The sequence below is a fragment of the Homo sapiens genome, chromosome 12 (assembly GCF_000001405.40).
Source record: "Homo sapiens chromosome 12, GRCh38.p14 Primary Assembly".
NCBI classification, from domain to species: domain Eukaryota; kingdom Metazoa; phylum Chordata; class Mammalia; order Primates; family Hominidae; genus Homo; species Homo sapiens.
In genome coordinates this window covers 97887782-97904304 of record NC_000012.12, presented here as the reverse complement: position 1 = coordinate 97904304, position 16523 = coordinate 97887782, and the positions used below count along the sequence as shown (strand labels likewise).

Genomic DNA, 16523 nt, shown 5'->3' with positions numbered 1-16523 from the left:
TGGAAAAGAAATGGATGATAAATGGTTTCTTCACGCACATAACTACTAGCAACCTGCAAGGCAAATAAGTCTGTAAAATGTTGAAATAACAAATGCATTCCTTTTTTTTTCTTAGGCTTAAAACGCTTAGGGTGAAAATAAATTTGGAGTTTTTCCTGAGCCTTCTTATTCATTTTCTTTAAAAAAATTTATGCCATAAATTTACCAGGTCCTAAACTATAAGTTAGAGTAATTTTTAAAGTGGTAGACCAAATTGTATGTATGCTATGTAGAAGCATTTTTTTCTGAAAACACTAATATTGCTCTAAGTAGTGTCAAAATTGGCTATTTCTGAAAAAGCAGAGAAGAAATGTTGTGAGCATTTTTAATAGCATTTGATAGTACTCTGGCTGAAGACTCAAATTGGGATTATTCTGGATAATAAAAATAAGTGAAAGCAAACAAACATCACCTTGTAGGTATCTTCCCTTTCTCTCCTCTTACTCCTTAGTAGCAGCAAATATGCAGAAGACATTGAAAATTTCAACTGCGGGCTTTTATTGAGTTTTAAATCACTGGAGACGATGCCTAATGAAAATCATTGCACCATGCAACTATAGGAAATCAAACAGGACAAACAATCTAACCTTGAATTTCAGAATCGCTTGTGACCCTCAGAAGTATGTTTTCCTATATTGCTCTATAATAGCACCATGGGGAGGGGTGGGGAAGTTGGGGAGAGGTGGTTAGTTCACAGTGATCTTTGTCACTTCAAGTCTAGCACAAAAGTCTATAGCAGATGTTGGCGTTTTAACCATCATCCTCTTTTAAGTTTTCACAAACAAGCATTTGGCATCTTAATGGATAACGGTCTCCCTCTCTCTCTTCCTGTCTCTGAAAAAAATTCTCAGAAACTCTCAATGGACTGAATTTTATATATGAATTTAAGACTGTAATCAAGTAACTTATTTAAAGTTACATAGCATTTAAGATAAAGAACTCAAACCAAGTCTTTTGACCATCAACCCGTTCCCTTTCCCTACATAAAAAACCTGAAATGAGAGTTAGTTTTGATAAGAGGATGTGTAAAAGGAGTATGTATACTGGGTCCCTAAGGAGTTGCCAGAAGACTAAAGGACAAGAAGACGAAGCCAGTCCACTTTATCCGCATTCCGCTTGAGCAGCTCAGGCTCTGGGCAAATGAGAGTCAAGGTATGCTCTCTGTAGAGCCTGGCAAAGTAGGGGAGTCTCCTAGGGATGAGCAGAATTGCACCCCTGTGTCGCAGTGAGGCTGCAGAAACTACATGGATGACAGCTGCCCTCTGAGTGTTTCCACCTCTGATGATAATAGTACCTGTCTGCCAGGATTGTTATGAGAGTTAGTTGGCCCATATAAAATGCTTAGAACAGGGTCTGGCATAGGAAAAACTTACCAAATTCAGGGTAATACTTTTTAAATTTTATCAAAGAAGGTTTATTCCTTCCCATTATAAGAGTGCACAGTCCATTATTACAGATTTGGAAACACTTATATAGTGCTTAATATGTGCCTCTCACATGTAAACTAATTTCCTAGTAAGCAAATAAGTATTATTACCATCTTCAATTACAGAGAGGTTGTAGAACTTGTCCAAAGTCACACAGTTGGTTTCAGAACCAAGATTCAATTCCAAGAAAAGCCATGAGTCAAACCACTACCTTATGTTCCTTCTCAAATTGAAGGATGAACTAAATATACCTATAATCCCACCACCCAGAGATTAATTTTGTTTCTGTGTTCATTCACCTTCTTTTCCCCCAATGTTAGTTTATTTTAAAGATAGCCTATTTTTACTTTTATTTGATTATTTTTTTACATCATGAGGATCATACTCAATGATTTCAAGGTAGGGGAAGTACAGGAACATCTTCGATTAGTAACCTACTACCTCCTAGCCATCATGTTGAGTGTCCTACATAAATTTTCCAATTTTCTTCCTACTAACCCTGGCAGGTAGGTCTTCCTTTCTCCACTTTTGGAAGAAAAAAAATTTTTTAAGTATTATTCTTATAGGCTTCTCACTCAAAAATAACCATGCAATAGAGATTTATTTTCACAGTAATTTAGAAGCAACAGGCCAGGCGCGGTGGCTCACGCCTGTAATCCCAGCACTTTGGGAGACCAAGAGGGGGTGGATCACGAGGTCAGGAGATCGAGACCATTCTCGCTAACATGGTGAAAGCCCCTCTCTACTAAAAATACAAAAAAATTAGCCAGGCGTGGTGGTGGGCACCTGTAGTCCCAGCTACTCGGGAGGCTGAGGCAGGAGACTGGCATGAACCCAGGAGGCAGAGCTTACAGGGAGCCGAGATTGCGCCACTGCACTCCAGCCTGGGCGACAGAGCGAGACTGTCTCAAAGAAAGAAAAAAGAAGCAACAAGGGCCACATGTCTTGCTTCCCTACTGCCTCCCCCACCCCCACCACCAACCTGCATAGTGTTTTAAACAAGCATTTTTTCTATTGGCTTCTCTTTTCCGTTTATCTCCCTCAAACAGTAGAAGTGACAGAGTCAATGTTTCTGAGCCAATTCGTTCGTTAGTATCCTGCTTTGCAATGCATGCAACTCTCTGTCTGCAAGAGCTTCCCTAACCCTGTTGATCCTTGTGACTGTTTCCATCTCCATGAGTCACCCACATATCAATATTTTTCTCTGGTGGCACCCAATTTGCAGAGGGAAATTAACTCTCGGCTACACAAATTGGATTGAGAGGACATCCCTGATCCATTTTAAGTGAATTGGGACTTAAAATTTTAAAAACACAGTGTGATTGAGCATAGACAATATGAAGGAATGCAGTTAGAATTTTGTGGATATAATATAGAAACTACAAGAGAGAATCACACTGGACATCTGACTGATTAGGTTGAGAGTATAGAAAATGTACTTTTTAAACTAATGTGCATAAGGTTATTGAAAATAGGTGTAAACAGCAATGTAATAATAATGATAATAATAATAAATCGCAGTTATCTCAAGGGCTTACTATATTACCTATTTTTATTTTTATAACCACTCTAGGTATAATTATACCCCAGAGGAGGAAGATGAGACTTTATGTAATTTAAAGCTTAGGTAACTTACAAGCAATTATAGCTTGTAAGTGTCAGAGCTGGGGAACTTTTTTTGTTTTTTAATGAACACATTTAGTGACCTCTAGAATATAAGCTCCATGAGGGTAAAGATGGTTTTTCTGTTTTGTTTTCTGCTGTGTCCTAGAGGCAAATGCCTGTCATGGATTTACAGTTAAGAAGCTTTCAGAGACCAGGCATGGTGGCTCATGCCTATAATTCCAGCACTTTTGGGGAAGCCAAGGTGGGCGGATCACTTGGGGCCAGGAGTTTGAGACCAGTCTGGGCAACACAGTGAAACCCCATCTCTGTAAGAAATGAAAAAACATTAGCCAGGCATGGTGACATGTGCCTGTAGTTCTAGGTACTTCAGAGGCTGAGGTGGGAGTATTGCTTAAACCTGGGAGGCGGAGGCTGCAGTGAGCCATCATCACGCCACTGCACTCCAGCCTGGGTGACAGACAGAGCAGAAACCTCATCTCAAAGAAAAAAAAGAAGAAGAAGAAAAAGAAAAGAAACATTCACAGTCAGATTTCTGTCATTCAATAGACTGGCCAATCCCTGTTATTTTTGTTTGCTCTTCAGAGTCAAGGATGATGTTGTTGCCATGTTTTTGAGCCAAAATTTTCAGCTATTCTCACTGGTAGCAGTAACTCGAGGGCAGAGATAAAACTCTACAATAAATTGTATGGACAGGTCCAAACAACTAGAGAGGCTGTAAGCACCTGAAGGATGTCAGTATGAGCAGAGTTCAGCTGCCGTCACAAAATGGAGGAGCGATAGCAGTAGTTAAATGCATTTGCAATGTGTACTCTTATGAAATGATCATACAGCACAAATGGCCTCTATAGAGATAATGAGAAAAGCATCTTTTTTACTTATTCTATGTTTCTAGAATTTAGGATAATGGTGATTGCATACAAAATGTTTTGAAGGGTTATTTAATGCCATTCTTCCAAATGAGATTCCTCAATTCTTATTCCTGTGGCTCATTGAAAGGAACACAGATAATGGCCTGTTGTGGAAACTGTGATTGAATGCTTCATGAATCATCCCAGGCTCTTGGACCTTGAACTTGTGCAGACAACTGTCTGGAATTTTTCTATTGAAGCTGTAGCTACTGGGAGAGGGAAAGGAATTGGCATGGTTATTAATAGGATTTCGAGTTCACAGAGGAAGAAAGTGTATCCTATATATAATACAGACTAGGAATGATCTTTGGCCAATGATTGGAGAATAGAATTTGGCTCTGAATGTTGAGGTTCCATGACCTTTTCTAATTCGCTATAAAATTTCATGACTCCTATAGTAAAATAAATTTAAAATTTATATATGAATGGCTGTGGTTTACTGTAAGATATATATCATGACTATAAGATCAATGATAGTCATAAGGCCCATTCAAGCAACTCACAGGGTCAACACTATATGTCACTTAGAAGTATGATACAACCTGGCCTAGGGATTTCCAACCCTGGCCCAGGGATTTCCCAGAGACAAGGTCACCTTGGCACAGATGCAACTTTCACAATCCTTAGAACAAAGTTTACCCTTACAAGAATAACTTAATCTCCCTTTATGAAAGAAACATCTGGTAACTGACCTGAATTGCATACAGGTATAAGAGAGGAAGAAGGATCCCCCCAAACTCTGAGAATGGTCTCTGGATGAAGACCCTACTTGTCTGTCAGTCATCTGCCCCCTGACTGTATGAGGCCCATGATACTGGCCTGCATCTGCTATCCTCTGGTTAGAGTGCTGCCAGAATAAACTGCTTGAGATGTGTTGAAGATTCCTCTTCGATGTGAAGTAAATGGAAGGGGATAAGTCGCTTTGGGAAAGCTGCTTAACTAAGACCACCTAAAACCTCTGATCATGACAACGGCTCATTATTTTCTTTTTGCATAAAATTAGAGTAGAAACATAAAAAGTCATTGAGACTTTGAACTTTTTCTTTATTCAAGGGAAGGCTGATAAGGACATGGGTTTTGGAGGCAGAAAGTCCTAGGTTCAAGTCCAGCTCTTCAATTCACTTCCTGAGTAAACCTCAGCAAGTAACATCAATTCATTCAGTTTCCTCATCTGTAATTTGAAAGCTTGAATACTAGTTTCAGGCACACATTGATGGGGTGTGTGTATGTATGTGTGTGTGTGTGTATATATATATATATATATAGCTACACGATCAATATGTATATATGTGTGTATATATGTACATATATATAATGGGTATATATACATGTAATCAATATATAGTCAAATATATATATTTAAATAAATATATTCCTTTGGGGGTTGTTTTGAGTATTAGAGAAAATTTTATATAAATTACTTAACCCATTATAGACACATTGCATTTTCTTTAATAGACGTAATAAATATTAAGGACAAAAATATGTCATTTCCATCACCAATAGTATCAAATTCACGTTTTAAAATGAGAAACTTCGATGGGCTGGCAAGATGGCCGAATAGGAACAACTCCGGTCTGCAGCTCCCAGCAAGATCAACAGAGAAGGCAGGTGATTTCTGCATTTTCATCTGAGGTACACAGGTCATCTCACTGGGACTGGTTAGACAATGGGTGCGGCCCATGGAGGGCAAGCAGAAGCAGGGTGGAGTGTCACCTCACCAGGGAAGTGGAAGGGATCCAGGAACTCCCTCCCCTAGCCAAGGGTAGCCTGGTGGACTGTGCTGTGAGGAACGGCACATTCCAGCCCAGATACTGTGCTTTTTCCACAGTCTTCACAACCCGTAGAACTGGAGATTCCCTCGGGTGCCTACACCACCAGGGCCCTGGGTTTCAAGCCCAAAACTGGGCAGCTGTTGGGGCAGACACCAAGCTAGCTGCAGTTTTTTAAATACCCCAGTGGTGCCTGCAACGCCAGCGAGACAGAACCATTCACTCCCCTGGAAAGGGGGCTGAAACAAGGGAACCAAGTGGTCTAGCTCAGGAGATCCCACCCCCATGGAGCCCAGCAAGCTAAGATCCACTGGCTTGAAATTCTTGCTGCCAGCACAGCAGTCTGAAGTCGACCTGGGACACTGGAGCTTGGTAGGGGGAGGGGCGTCTGCCATTACTGAGGCTTGAGTAGGCCGTTTTCCCCTCACAGTGTAAACAAAGCCACTGGGAAGTTCGAACAGGGTGGAGCCCACTGCAGCTTCACAAAGCCCCTGTAGCCAGACTGCCTTTCTAGATTCTTCCTCTCTTGGCAGGGCATCTCTGAAAGAAAGGCAGACGCCCCAGTCAGGGGCTTATAGATAAAACTCCCATCTCCTGGGACAGAGCACCTGGAGGAAGGGGCGGCTGTGGGCCCAGCTTCAGCAGACTTAAACTTTCCTGCCTGCTGGCTATGAAGAGAGCAGCAGATCTCCCAGGAGAGTGCTCAAGCTCTGCTAAGGGACAGACTGCCTCATCAAGTGGGTTCCTGACCCCCGTGCCTTTTGACTGGGAGACACCTCCAAGCAGGGGTCAACAGACACCACATACAGGAGAGCTCCAGCTGGCATCTGGCAGGTGCCACTCTGGGATGAAGCTTTCAGAGGAAGGAACAGGCAGCAATCTTTGCTCTTTTGCAGCCTTCGCTGATGATACCCAGGCAAACAGGGTCGGGAGTGTACCTCCAGCAAACTCCAGCAGACCTTCAGCAGAGGGCCCTGACAGTTAGGAGGAAAACTAACAAACAGAAAGGAATAGGATCAAGATCAACAAAAAGGACGTCCACACAGAAACCCCATCTGAAGGTCACCAACATCAAAGATCAAAGGTAGATAAATCCATGAAGATGCAGGAAAAAAAAAAAAAAGCAGCACAAAAAGTTTGAAAATTCCAAAAACCAGAACACCTCTTCTCCTCCAAAGGATCACAACTCCTCACCAGCAAGGGAACAAAACTGGATGGAGAATGAGTTTGATAAATTGACAGAAGTAGGCTTCAGAAGGTGGATAATAACAAATGCGTCCGAGCTAAAGGAGCATGTTCTAACCCAATGCAAAGAAGCTAAGAACCTTGAAAAAAGGTTAGAGGAATTGCTAACTAGAATAACCAGTTTAGAGAAGAACATAAATGACCTGATGGAGCTGCAAAACACAGCACGAGAACTTCGTGAAGCATACACAAGTATCAGTAGCCAAATTGATCAAGCAAAAGAAAGGATATCAGAGATTCAAGATCAACTTAATGAAATAAAGCATGAAGACAAGATTAGAGAAAAAAGAATGAAAATAAATGAACATAGCCTCCAGGAAATATGGGACTATGTGAAAAGACCAAACCTATGTTTGATTCATGTACCTGAAAGTGACAGGGAGAATGGAACCAAGTTGGAAAACACTCTTCAGGGTATTATCCAGGAGAACTTCTCCAACCTAGCAAGACAGGCCAGCATTCAAATTCAGGAAATACAGAGAACACCACAAAGATACTCCTTGAGAAGAGCAACCCCAAGACACATAATCATCAGGTTTACCAAGGTTGAAATGAAGGCAAACATGTTAAGGACAGCCAGAGAGAAAGGCCAAGTTACCAACAAAGGGATGCCCATCAGACTAACAGTGGATCTCTTGGCAGAAACCTGCAAGCCAGAGGAGAGTGGGAGCCAATATTCAACATCTGTAAAGAAAAGAATTTTCAACCCAGAATTTCATATCCAGCCAAACTAAGCTTCATAAGCGAAGAAGAAATAAAACCCTTACAGATAAGCAAATGCTGAGAGATTTTGTCACCACCAGGACTGCCTTACAAGAGCTCCTGAAGGAAGCACTAAATATGGAAAAGAAAAACCGGTACCAGCCACTGCAAAAACATACCAAATTGTAAAGACCATCAACACTATGAAGAAACTGCATCAACTAACGGGGAAAGTAACCAGCTAGCATCATAATGACAGGATCCAATTCACACATAACAATATTAACCTTAAATGTAAGTGGACTAAATGCCCCAGTTAAAAGACACAGACTGGCAGATTGGATAAAGAGTCAAGACCCATCAGTGTGCTTTATTCAGGAGATCCATCTCATTTGCAAAGACACACATAGGCTCAAAATAAAGGGATGCAGGAATATTTACCAAGCAAATGGAAAGCAGGAAAAAGCAGGGGTTGCAATCCTAGTCTCTGACAAAACAGACTTTAAACCAACATAGATCAAAAAAGACAATGGCAGTACATAATGGTAAAAGGATCAATGCAACAAGAAAAGCTAACTATCCTAAATATATATGCACCCAATACAGGAGCACCCAGATTAACTAAGCAAGTTCTTAGAGACCTACAAAGAGACTTAGATTCCCAAACAATAATAGTGGGAGACTTTAGCACCCTACTGTCAATATTAGACAGATCAACAAGACAGAAAATTAACAAGTATATTCAGGACTTGAATCCAGCTCTGGACCAAGTGAACCTAATAGACATCTACAGAACTCTCCATCCCAAATCAACAGAATATACATTCTTCTCAGTACCACATCAAACTTATTCTAAAATTGATCACATAATTGGAAGTAAAACATTCCTCAGCAAATGTAAAAGAATGGAAATCATAACAAACAATCTGTCAGACTACAGTGCAATCAAATTAGAACTGAGGATTAAGAAACTCACTCAAAACCATACAACTGTATGGAAACTGAACAACCAGCTCCTGAATGACTACTGGGTAAATAACGAAATTAAGGCAGAAATAAATAAGTTATTTGAAACCAATGAGAACAAAGACTCAACGTACCAGAATCTCTGAGACACAGCTAAAGCAGTGTTTAGAGGGAAATTTATACCACTAAATACCCACAGAAGAAAGTGGGAAAGATCTAAAATTGACACCATAACATTACAATGAAAAGAACTAGAGAAGCAAGAGCAAACAAATTCAAAAGCTAGCAGAAGACAAGAAATAACTAAGATCAGAGCAGAACTGAAGGAGATAGAGACAGAAAACACCCTTCAAAAAATCAATGAATCCAGGCACTGTTTCTTTTTTAAGATTAACAAAATAGACCACTAGCCAGACTAACAAAGTAATAAAGAAGAAAAGACAGAAGAATCAAATAGACACAGTAAACAATGATAAAGGGGATATCACCACTGATGCCACAGAAATACAAACTACCATCAGAGAATACTGTAAACACCTCTATGCAAATAAACTAGAAAATCTAGAAGAAATTGATAAATTCCTGGAGACATGCACTCTCCCAAGACTAAACCAGGAAGAAGTTGAATCCCTGAATAGGCCACTAACAAGTTTTGAAATTGAGGGAGTAATTAGTAGCCTACCAATCAAAAAAAGCTCAGGACCAGATGGATTCACAGCTGAATTCTACCAGAGGTACAAAGAGGAGCTGGTACCATTCCTTTTGAAACTATTCCAAAGCATAGTAAACGAAGGACTCCTTCCTAACTCATTTGATGAGGTCAGCGTCATCCTGATACCAAAACCTTTCAGAGACACAACAAAAATAGAACATTTCAGGCCAATATCCCTGATGAACATCGATGCAAAAATCCTCAATAAAATATTGGCAAACAGAATCCAACAGCACATCGAAAAGCTTATCCAACGCAATCAAGTCAGCTTCATCCCTGTGATGCAAGTCTGGTTCAACATATGCAAATCAATAAATGTAATCCATCTCATAAACAGAACCAATGACAAAAACCACATGATTATCTAAATAGATGCAGAAAAGGCCTTTGATAAAATTCAACACCCCTTCATGCTAAAAACTCTCAATGAACTAGGTATTGATGGAACGTATCTCAAAATAATGAGAACTATTTATGAGAAATCCACAGCCAATATTATACTGAATGATCAAAAGCTGGAAGCATTCCCTTTGAAAACCGGCACAAGACAAGGATGCCCTCTCTCACCACTCCTATTCAACACAGTATTGGAAGTTCTGGCCATGGCAATCAGGAAAGAGAAAGAAATAAAAGGTATTCAAATAGGAAGAGAGGAAGGTAAATTGTCTCTGTTTGAAGATGACATGATTGTATACTTAGAAAACCCATCGTCTCAGCCCTAAATCTCCTTAAGCTAATAAGCAACTTCAGCAAAGTCTCAGGATACAGTCAATGTGCAAAAATCACAAGCATTCCTATACAGCAATAATAGACAAACAGAGAGCCAAATCATAAGCGAACTCCTGTTCACAATTGCTACAAAGAGGATAAAATACCTAGGAATACAGCTTACAAGGATGTGAATGACCTCTTCAAGGAGAACTACAAACCACTGCTCAAAGAAAAAGAGGACACAAACAAATGGAAAAATATTCCTTGCTCATGGACAGGAAGAATCAATATCATGAAAATGGCCATACTGCCCAAAGTAATTTATAGATTCAATGCTATCCCCATCAAGCTACCATTGACTTTCTTCACAGAATTAGAAAAAAAACTACTTTAAATTTCATATGGAACCAAAAAAGAGCTTGTATAGCCAAGACAATTCTAAGCAAAAAGAACAAAGCTGGAGGCATCAAGCTATCTGACCTCAAACTATACTGCAAGGCTACAGTAACCAAAACAGCATGGTACTGGTACCAAAACAGATATATAGACCAATGGAACAGCACAGAGGCCTCAGAAATAATGCCACACATCTACAATCATCTGATCTTTGACAAACCTGAGAAAAAACAGGCAATGGGGAAAGGATTCCCTATTTAATAAATGGTGTTGGGAAAACTGGCTAGCCATATGCTGGAAACAGAAACTGGACCCCTTCCTTACACCTTATACAAAAATTAATTCAAGATGGATTAAAGACTTAAATGTAAGACCTACAGCCATCAAAAACCCTAGAAGAATACCTAGGCAATACCATTTAGGACATAGACATGGGCAAAGACTACATTACTAAAACACCAAAAGCAATGGCAACATAAGCCAAAATTGACAAATGTGATCTAATTAAACTAAAGAGCTTCTGCACAGCAAAAGAAACTATCATCAGAGAGAACAGGCAACCTACAGAATTGGAGAAAACTTTTGCAATCTATCCATCTAACAAAGGGCTAATATCCAGAATCTACAAGGAACTTAATAAAATTTATAAGAAAATAACAACCCCATCAAAAATTGGGCAAAGGATACGAACAGACACTCCTCAAAAGAAGACATTTATGCAGCCAACAAACATATGAAAAAAAAGCTCATCATCACTGGTCATTAGAGAAATGCAAATCAAAACTACAATAAGATACCATCTCACACCAGTTAGAATGGTGATCATTAAAAAGCCAGGAAACAACAGATGCTGGAGAGGCTGTTACACTGTTGGTGCGAGTGTACATTAGTTCAACCATTGTGGAAGACAGTGTGGCAATTCCTCAAGGATCTAGAACCAGAAGTACCATTTGACCTAGCAATCCCATTACTGAGTATATACCTAAAGGATTATAAATCATTCTACTATAAAGACACATGCACAAGTATGTTTATTGCAGCACTGTTCACAATAGCAAAGACTTGGAACCAACCCAAACGTCCATCAGTGATAGACTGGATAAAGAAAATATGGCACATATCCACCATGGAATACAATGTAGCCATAAAAAAGGATGAGTTCATATCCTTTGCAGGGACATGGATGAAGCTGGAAACCATCATTCTCAGCAAAGTAACACAGGAACAGACAATCAAACACTGCATTTTCTCACTCATAAGTGGGAGTTGAACAATGAGAACACATGGACACAGGTAGGGGACTATCACACTCGGGGGCCTGTCAGGGGGTGGGGGGCTAGGGGAGGGATAGCATTAGGAGAAATACCTAATATAGATGATAGGTTGATGGGTGCAGCAAACCACCATGGCACATGTATACCTATGTAACAAGCCTGCATGTCCTGCACATGTATCCCAGAACTTAAAGTATAAAAAATAAATACGTAAATAAATAACATAAAATATAAAATAAAGAGAAAGTTTTTGAAAATTTATATGCTTAAAGTGTTGGGCAAAGAATAGTAGTAAGCAAAGCATAAAAGAAGAAATGTAAATGGACAATATACTTATGAAGAATCCTTTAACCTCGCTTGTTGCCTGGGAGAGGGAAAGTTAAAAAATAAAACACTTTTTTCCTTAAATATATGGGAAAAATAAAATTATTTGATAGCGTCTTACAATAAAGACAATATGAGAATATGCAGTGTAAATTGTTATGTTTTATGGAAAGTAAGGCAATATTTATTAAAGATAAAAAGTAAACATACACTTTGACATAGCAATCTCACTTTGGCGATCAATTCTATAAACTTTAAAAAAACAGCAGAAGATGACATTCTCGACCATAAAACAGCTCTTTTAATACATTTAAAAGGATTGAAATCACATAATACATTCTATGACAACATAAATTCAAAATCAACAAAAGAAAGTATCAAGAATATAACTAAATATTTAAAAATTAACTGACACACTTCTAAATAACTGATCAAAAGTAAAATCACAAGAAAGATTAGAAGACATATATATATATATATATATTTTTTAGATGGAGTCTCGCTCCGTCACTCAAGCTGGAGTGCAGTGGCATAATCTTGGCTCACTGCAACCTCCCTCCCTCAAGCGATTCTCCTGCTTCAGCCTCCTAAGTAGCTGGGATTACAGGTGCATGCCACCACACCCAGCTTATTTTTGTAGTTTTTAGTAGAGACAGGGTTTCACCATGTTGGCCAGGTTGGTCTTGAACTCCTGACCTCAAGTGATCTGCCCGCCTCAGCCTCCCAAGGTGCTAGGATTATAGGTGTGAGCCACCACGTTTGGCTGATATTTTGAAGTGAATAGAGACAAAAACATAATATTAGATTTCACTGATGTAGGTACCAAAATTTTTGTGATGTTTATAACATGAAAACCTACATTAGAGAAAATTTAAAAGATCTCAAAAAATTATCTAAGCTTTCACCAGAAGAAACTTAAAAAAAAAACAACACTAAGTATAATAAAAGAAATAATAAAGATGAGTGAAATCAAGGAAAATTAGACAAACAATAGAGAAGATAAGTGAAACTAAAAGCTGGTTTATTGAAAAAAGTAATACAATTGATGAAACTTTATTTAGACTAATCCAGAAAACAAAAAAACAGAGAAGACACAAATTACTAACATGAAGCATTGAAGGAAGGGATGTCACTACAGATTCTATAAACATTAAAGAACAATAAAAATTATAAAAATCTTCATGTCAATACATTTGACAACTTATATAAGATGGACAAATTCTTTAAAAAAGACAAAGTGCCAAGCCTTACTAAGGTTAAATATAGTTAACCTGAATAACCCTATTGTTATTTATAAAATTATATTTACATTTAAATTCTTTCCACAAAGACGACTCCAGGCCCAGATGGCTTCACTAGTGAATTCTCTCAGCATTTAAAGAAGAAAAAAAAAATAGCAATTTTGTATGCTGTTCCAGAAAACAGAAGAGGTGGGGAAACTTTCCAATTTACTTTATGAGGTGAGTATAACCACGATATCAAAACAGAGCCAAGTCATTATGAGAGAAGAACAGCACTGACCAATATAATAAAATCCAACAATATCTAAAATAAGTTATCATGATCAACTAAGGTTTATTCTAAAAATTCTAGGTTGGTATAACATTTGGGAACAAATTAGTAAAATTCACCAAATTAATGAATTAAAATTAAAAGTGCTAATTTCAATAGAAGAAAATGGTATTGACAAAATTCAACACTCATTCAAAATTCTTTAAAAACTGCAGCAAATTAGAAATTTTAAGAAACTTTCTCAACCTAATGAAAGATATCTATGAAAAAACAGCAAATAGCATCATACTTATTAGTGAAGGACTTAATGTTTTCCCTCTAAGATCAGGTACAAGGCAAGGATATCACACTCACTAATTCTGTTCAACATGGTGCTAGGGGTCCTAGTCAGTACAATAAAGCAAGAAAAAAATGCATATGGATTGGAGAGGAAAAAGTAATGCTATTTTTTTCTCTTATGTAACAATAAGTTTGAAAATGAAAAATTTTAAAGAATCTACAAAAAGATTAACTGAGGTCACATGGTTACAGTATACAGGGTCAGTATACAGAAGTCAATTGTGTTTATCTAAGCAACACGTAATTAAAAACTGAAATTTGAACATACTTTTAATAGCATAAAAACAAAATTATCAGATAAATTTAATAATATCAGTGTTCCTGGCCTGTACACTGAAAACTGCAAAACCTTCCTAAAAAGAATTTAAAAAGATGATCTAAATAAATTGAGAGAGATGCTGCCGATGGCAAAATTCCAATCAACAGAGTCTTCCAGTCAACAAAATGAAATCAACAATATGGAAGTATATTAGGATGTAATTTCTCCTCAAATATCTATGGATTTGATGCTATCCCAATCAATTCCCAGGGGGTGCTTCTATAAAATTAATTTCAAAATTATATGGAAGTGCAAAGGACTTAGAATCGCAGAGACAACCTTGGAATAGAACAAAGTAGGACACAAAAGGCACAAGCCCTAAAAGAAAAGTTGCTAAGTTGTATTTCTTCAAAAGTGTAAACTTCTGCTCTTCAAAAGCCACCTGTTAAGAGAATGAAAAGGCAAGCCACAGATTAATAGAATATTTCTAGTAGACAACTGGTTTGTGATTTGTAAAAGTTAAGTGTAATAAGCTATACACAAAAGCTATGAACTATATGCTTTTATTTATTTGGAATTTTAGAAATGGCACAAACTATAGTCAAAAAAACAGATCAGTGGTTGCTGAGGGCTAGGGTGCAAAGAGACACAAGGAACCCTTTTGGGGGTGGTGGATGTGGTCTGTATTTTTATTGGGGTGGTATTTATATGACCGTATATATTTTGTACATGTTATTGTTAAAACATATCAAACTGTGCACTTAAAATGGGTGGATTTCATTGACTATAAACTATGCCTCAATAAAACTTATTAAAACAAAAAGCACTTTTATCTAAGGAGAGATATATGGTGATTTTTAAAGGTAAAAAAAACAAAAATAAGCATAAAATTAAGTCTATAATCTGATTGTTCCTCTGTAATAGATCATTGAATACATTACAGTACATTAAATACATGTAACATTATGTAGCTTTTAAAAAAGTGTTACATCCATATTAATGGTCTTGAGATAAATTCATGATATTTTGCGGAAATCCAAAGTGATATGTGATGTATATACCCCTTTTATTATTAGGAAGAAATCAACTCGATATAGAAACATAGTTAATGTTTATTACTTTAGAATGCTGAGACTAAAGGTAGAGAACAGGGGAGGTTATTACGTTTTTTATTCATGCATTTGTGCATTTTTTTTTATAAAATCATATAATACTTTTACAATTCAAGATGTTTTAATAAAATTAAGAAAAGTAAAAAACTTGCCTCTTTCTGAAGGACTTCTATTTTTAATATTACTACAAGTAGTCATTTATAGTGCTTATGTATCTACATTGTTCTGCAAATCCATTGCATCTTATTTTAGTTGGTTTTCATGACTGACTCTTACTAGACCGTGATCCCCGGGAAGGCAGGGCAACTCATATTTATCTTTTCCGCTCTGGGACCATTCATTTGTCAACACTTTGTTGAGTACCTACAAAGTGCTAGTCACTGGTCACACAGTGGGCATATTTTCCAGCATGTAATAGATCCTCAACGCCTCTGAATTGCTGAATGAATTCAGATATGTTATTTGATAGGAGCAAAACAAATAGACCACTTGAATGAATATTGAATGAGTATTGAATGAATATACCACTTGCCCCTTTAACAACAGTTTTAAATAATGAAAGACTATACTGTAATATCTGTCCACTCATCATCTGGTTTAAAGTAGAATTTGGCTCTGCAATTTGAGTGTGAAAAGGGAATTTGAGAAATGAAAAATTACATAAAAGTCCAATTTAAATTGTTTTAAAAAGAAGCCATATGTTCTATATTTGATGCTCACTGTTCCCTCCCACCTCCTTAAGACTGTAATAATTCCCACATCCTTAAGATTTATAATCATAAATCACAAACCTAGTAGAATTTACCTTTGGCAAAGTTTAGGTATATAAACCTATCAGTATCCAGGTAGGGGAAGTCTAATCCTTATAAGCCAGTGTGCAAAAATCAAGTTTAACCCTTGAGATGGAACATGAACTCTTTCCAATTCTACAGGCCAGATGGCCCTAAAGATGCCCAACTCACATTCATAGTCACTGTCTGTACCTATAACCTCTGTTTCATAAATGACATTGTATTAGTCTATTCTCATGGTGCTAATAAAGACATACCCAAGACTGGGTAATTTTTAAAGGAAAGAGGTTTGATTGACTCACAGGTCCACATGGATGGGGAGGCCTCACAATCATGGCTGAAGGTGAAAGACGAGCAAAGTCATGTCCTCCATGGTGGCAGGCAAGAGGCCTGTGCAGGGGAACTGCC

General features: G+C 37.8%; 1 annotated feature.

The window, feature by feature from the left end:
* Nucleotides 5945-6495: an enhancer, noted in NCBI's record as "H3K27ac-H3K4me1 hESC enhancer chr12:98291588-98292138 (GRCh37/hg19 assembly coordinates)". NCBI's record gives its function as "activates a minimal SCP1, AML or CMV promoter by ChIP-STARR-seq in naive H9 embryonic stem cells {active_cell/tissue: H9 hESC(naive)}" and the evidence as "EXISTENCE:reporter gene assay evidence [ECO:0000049][PMID:30033119]".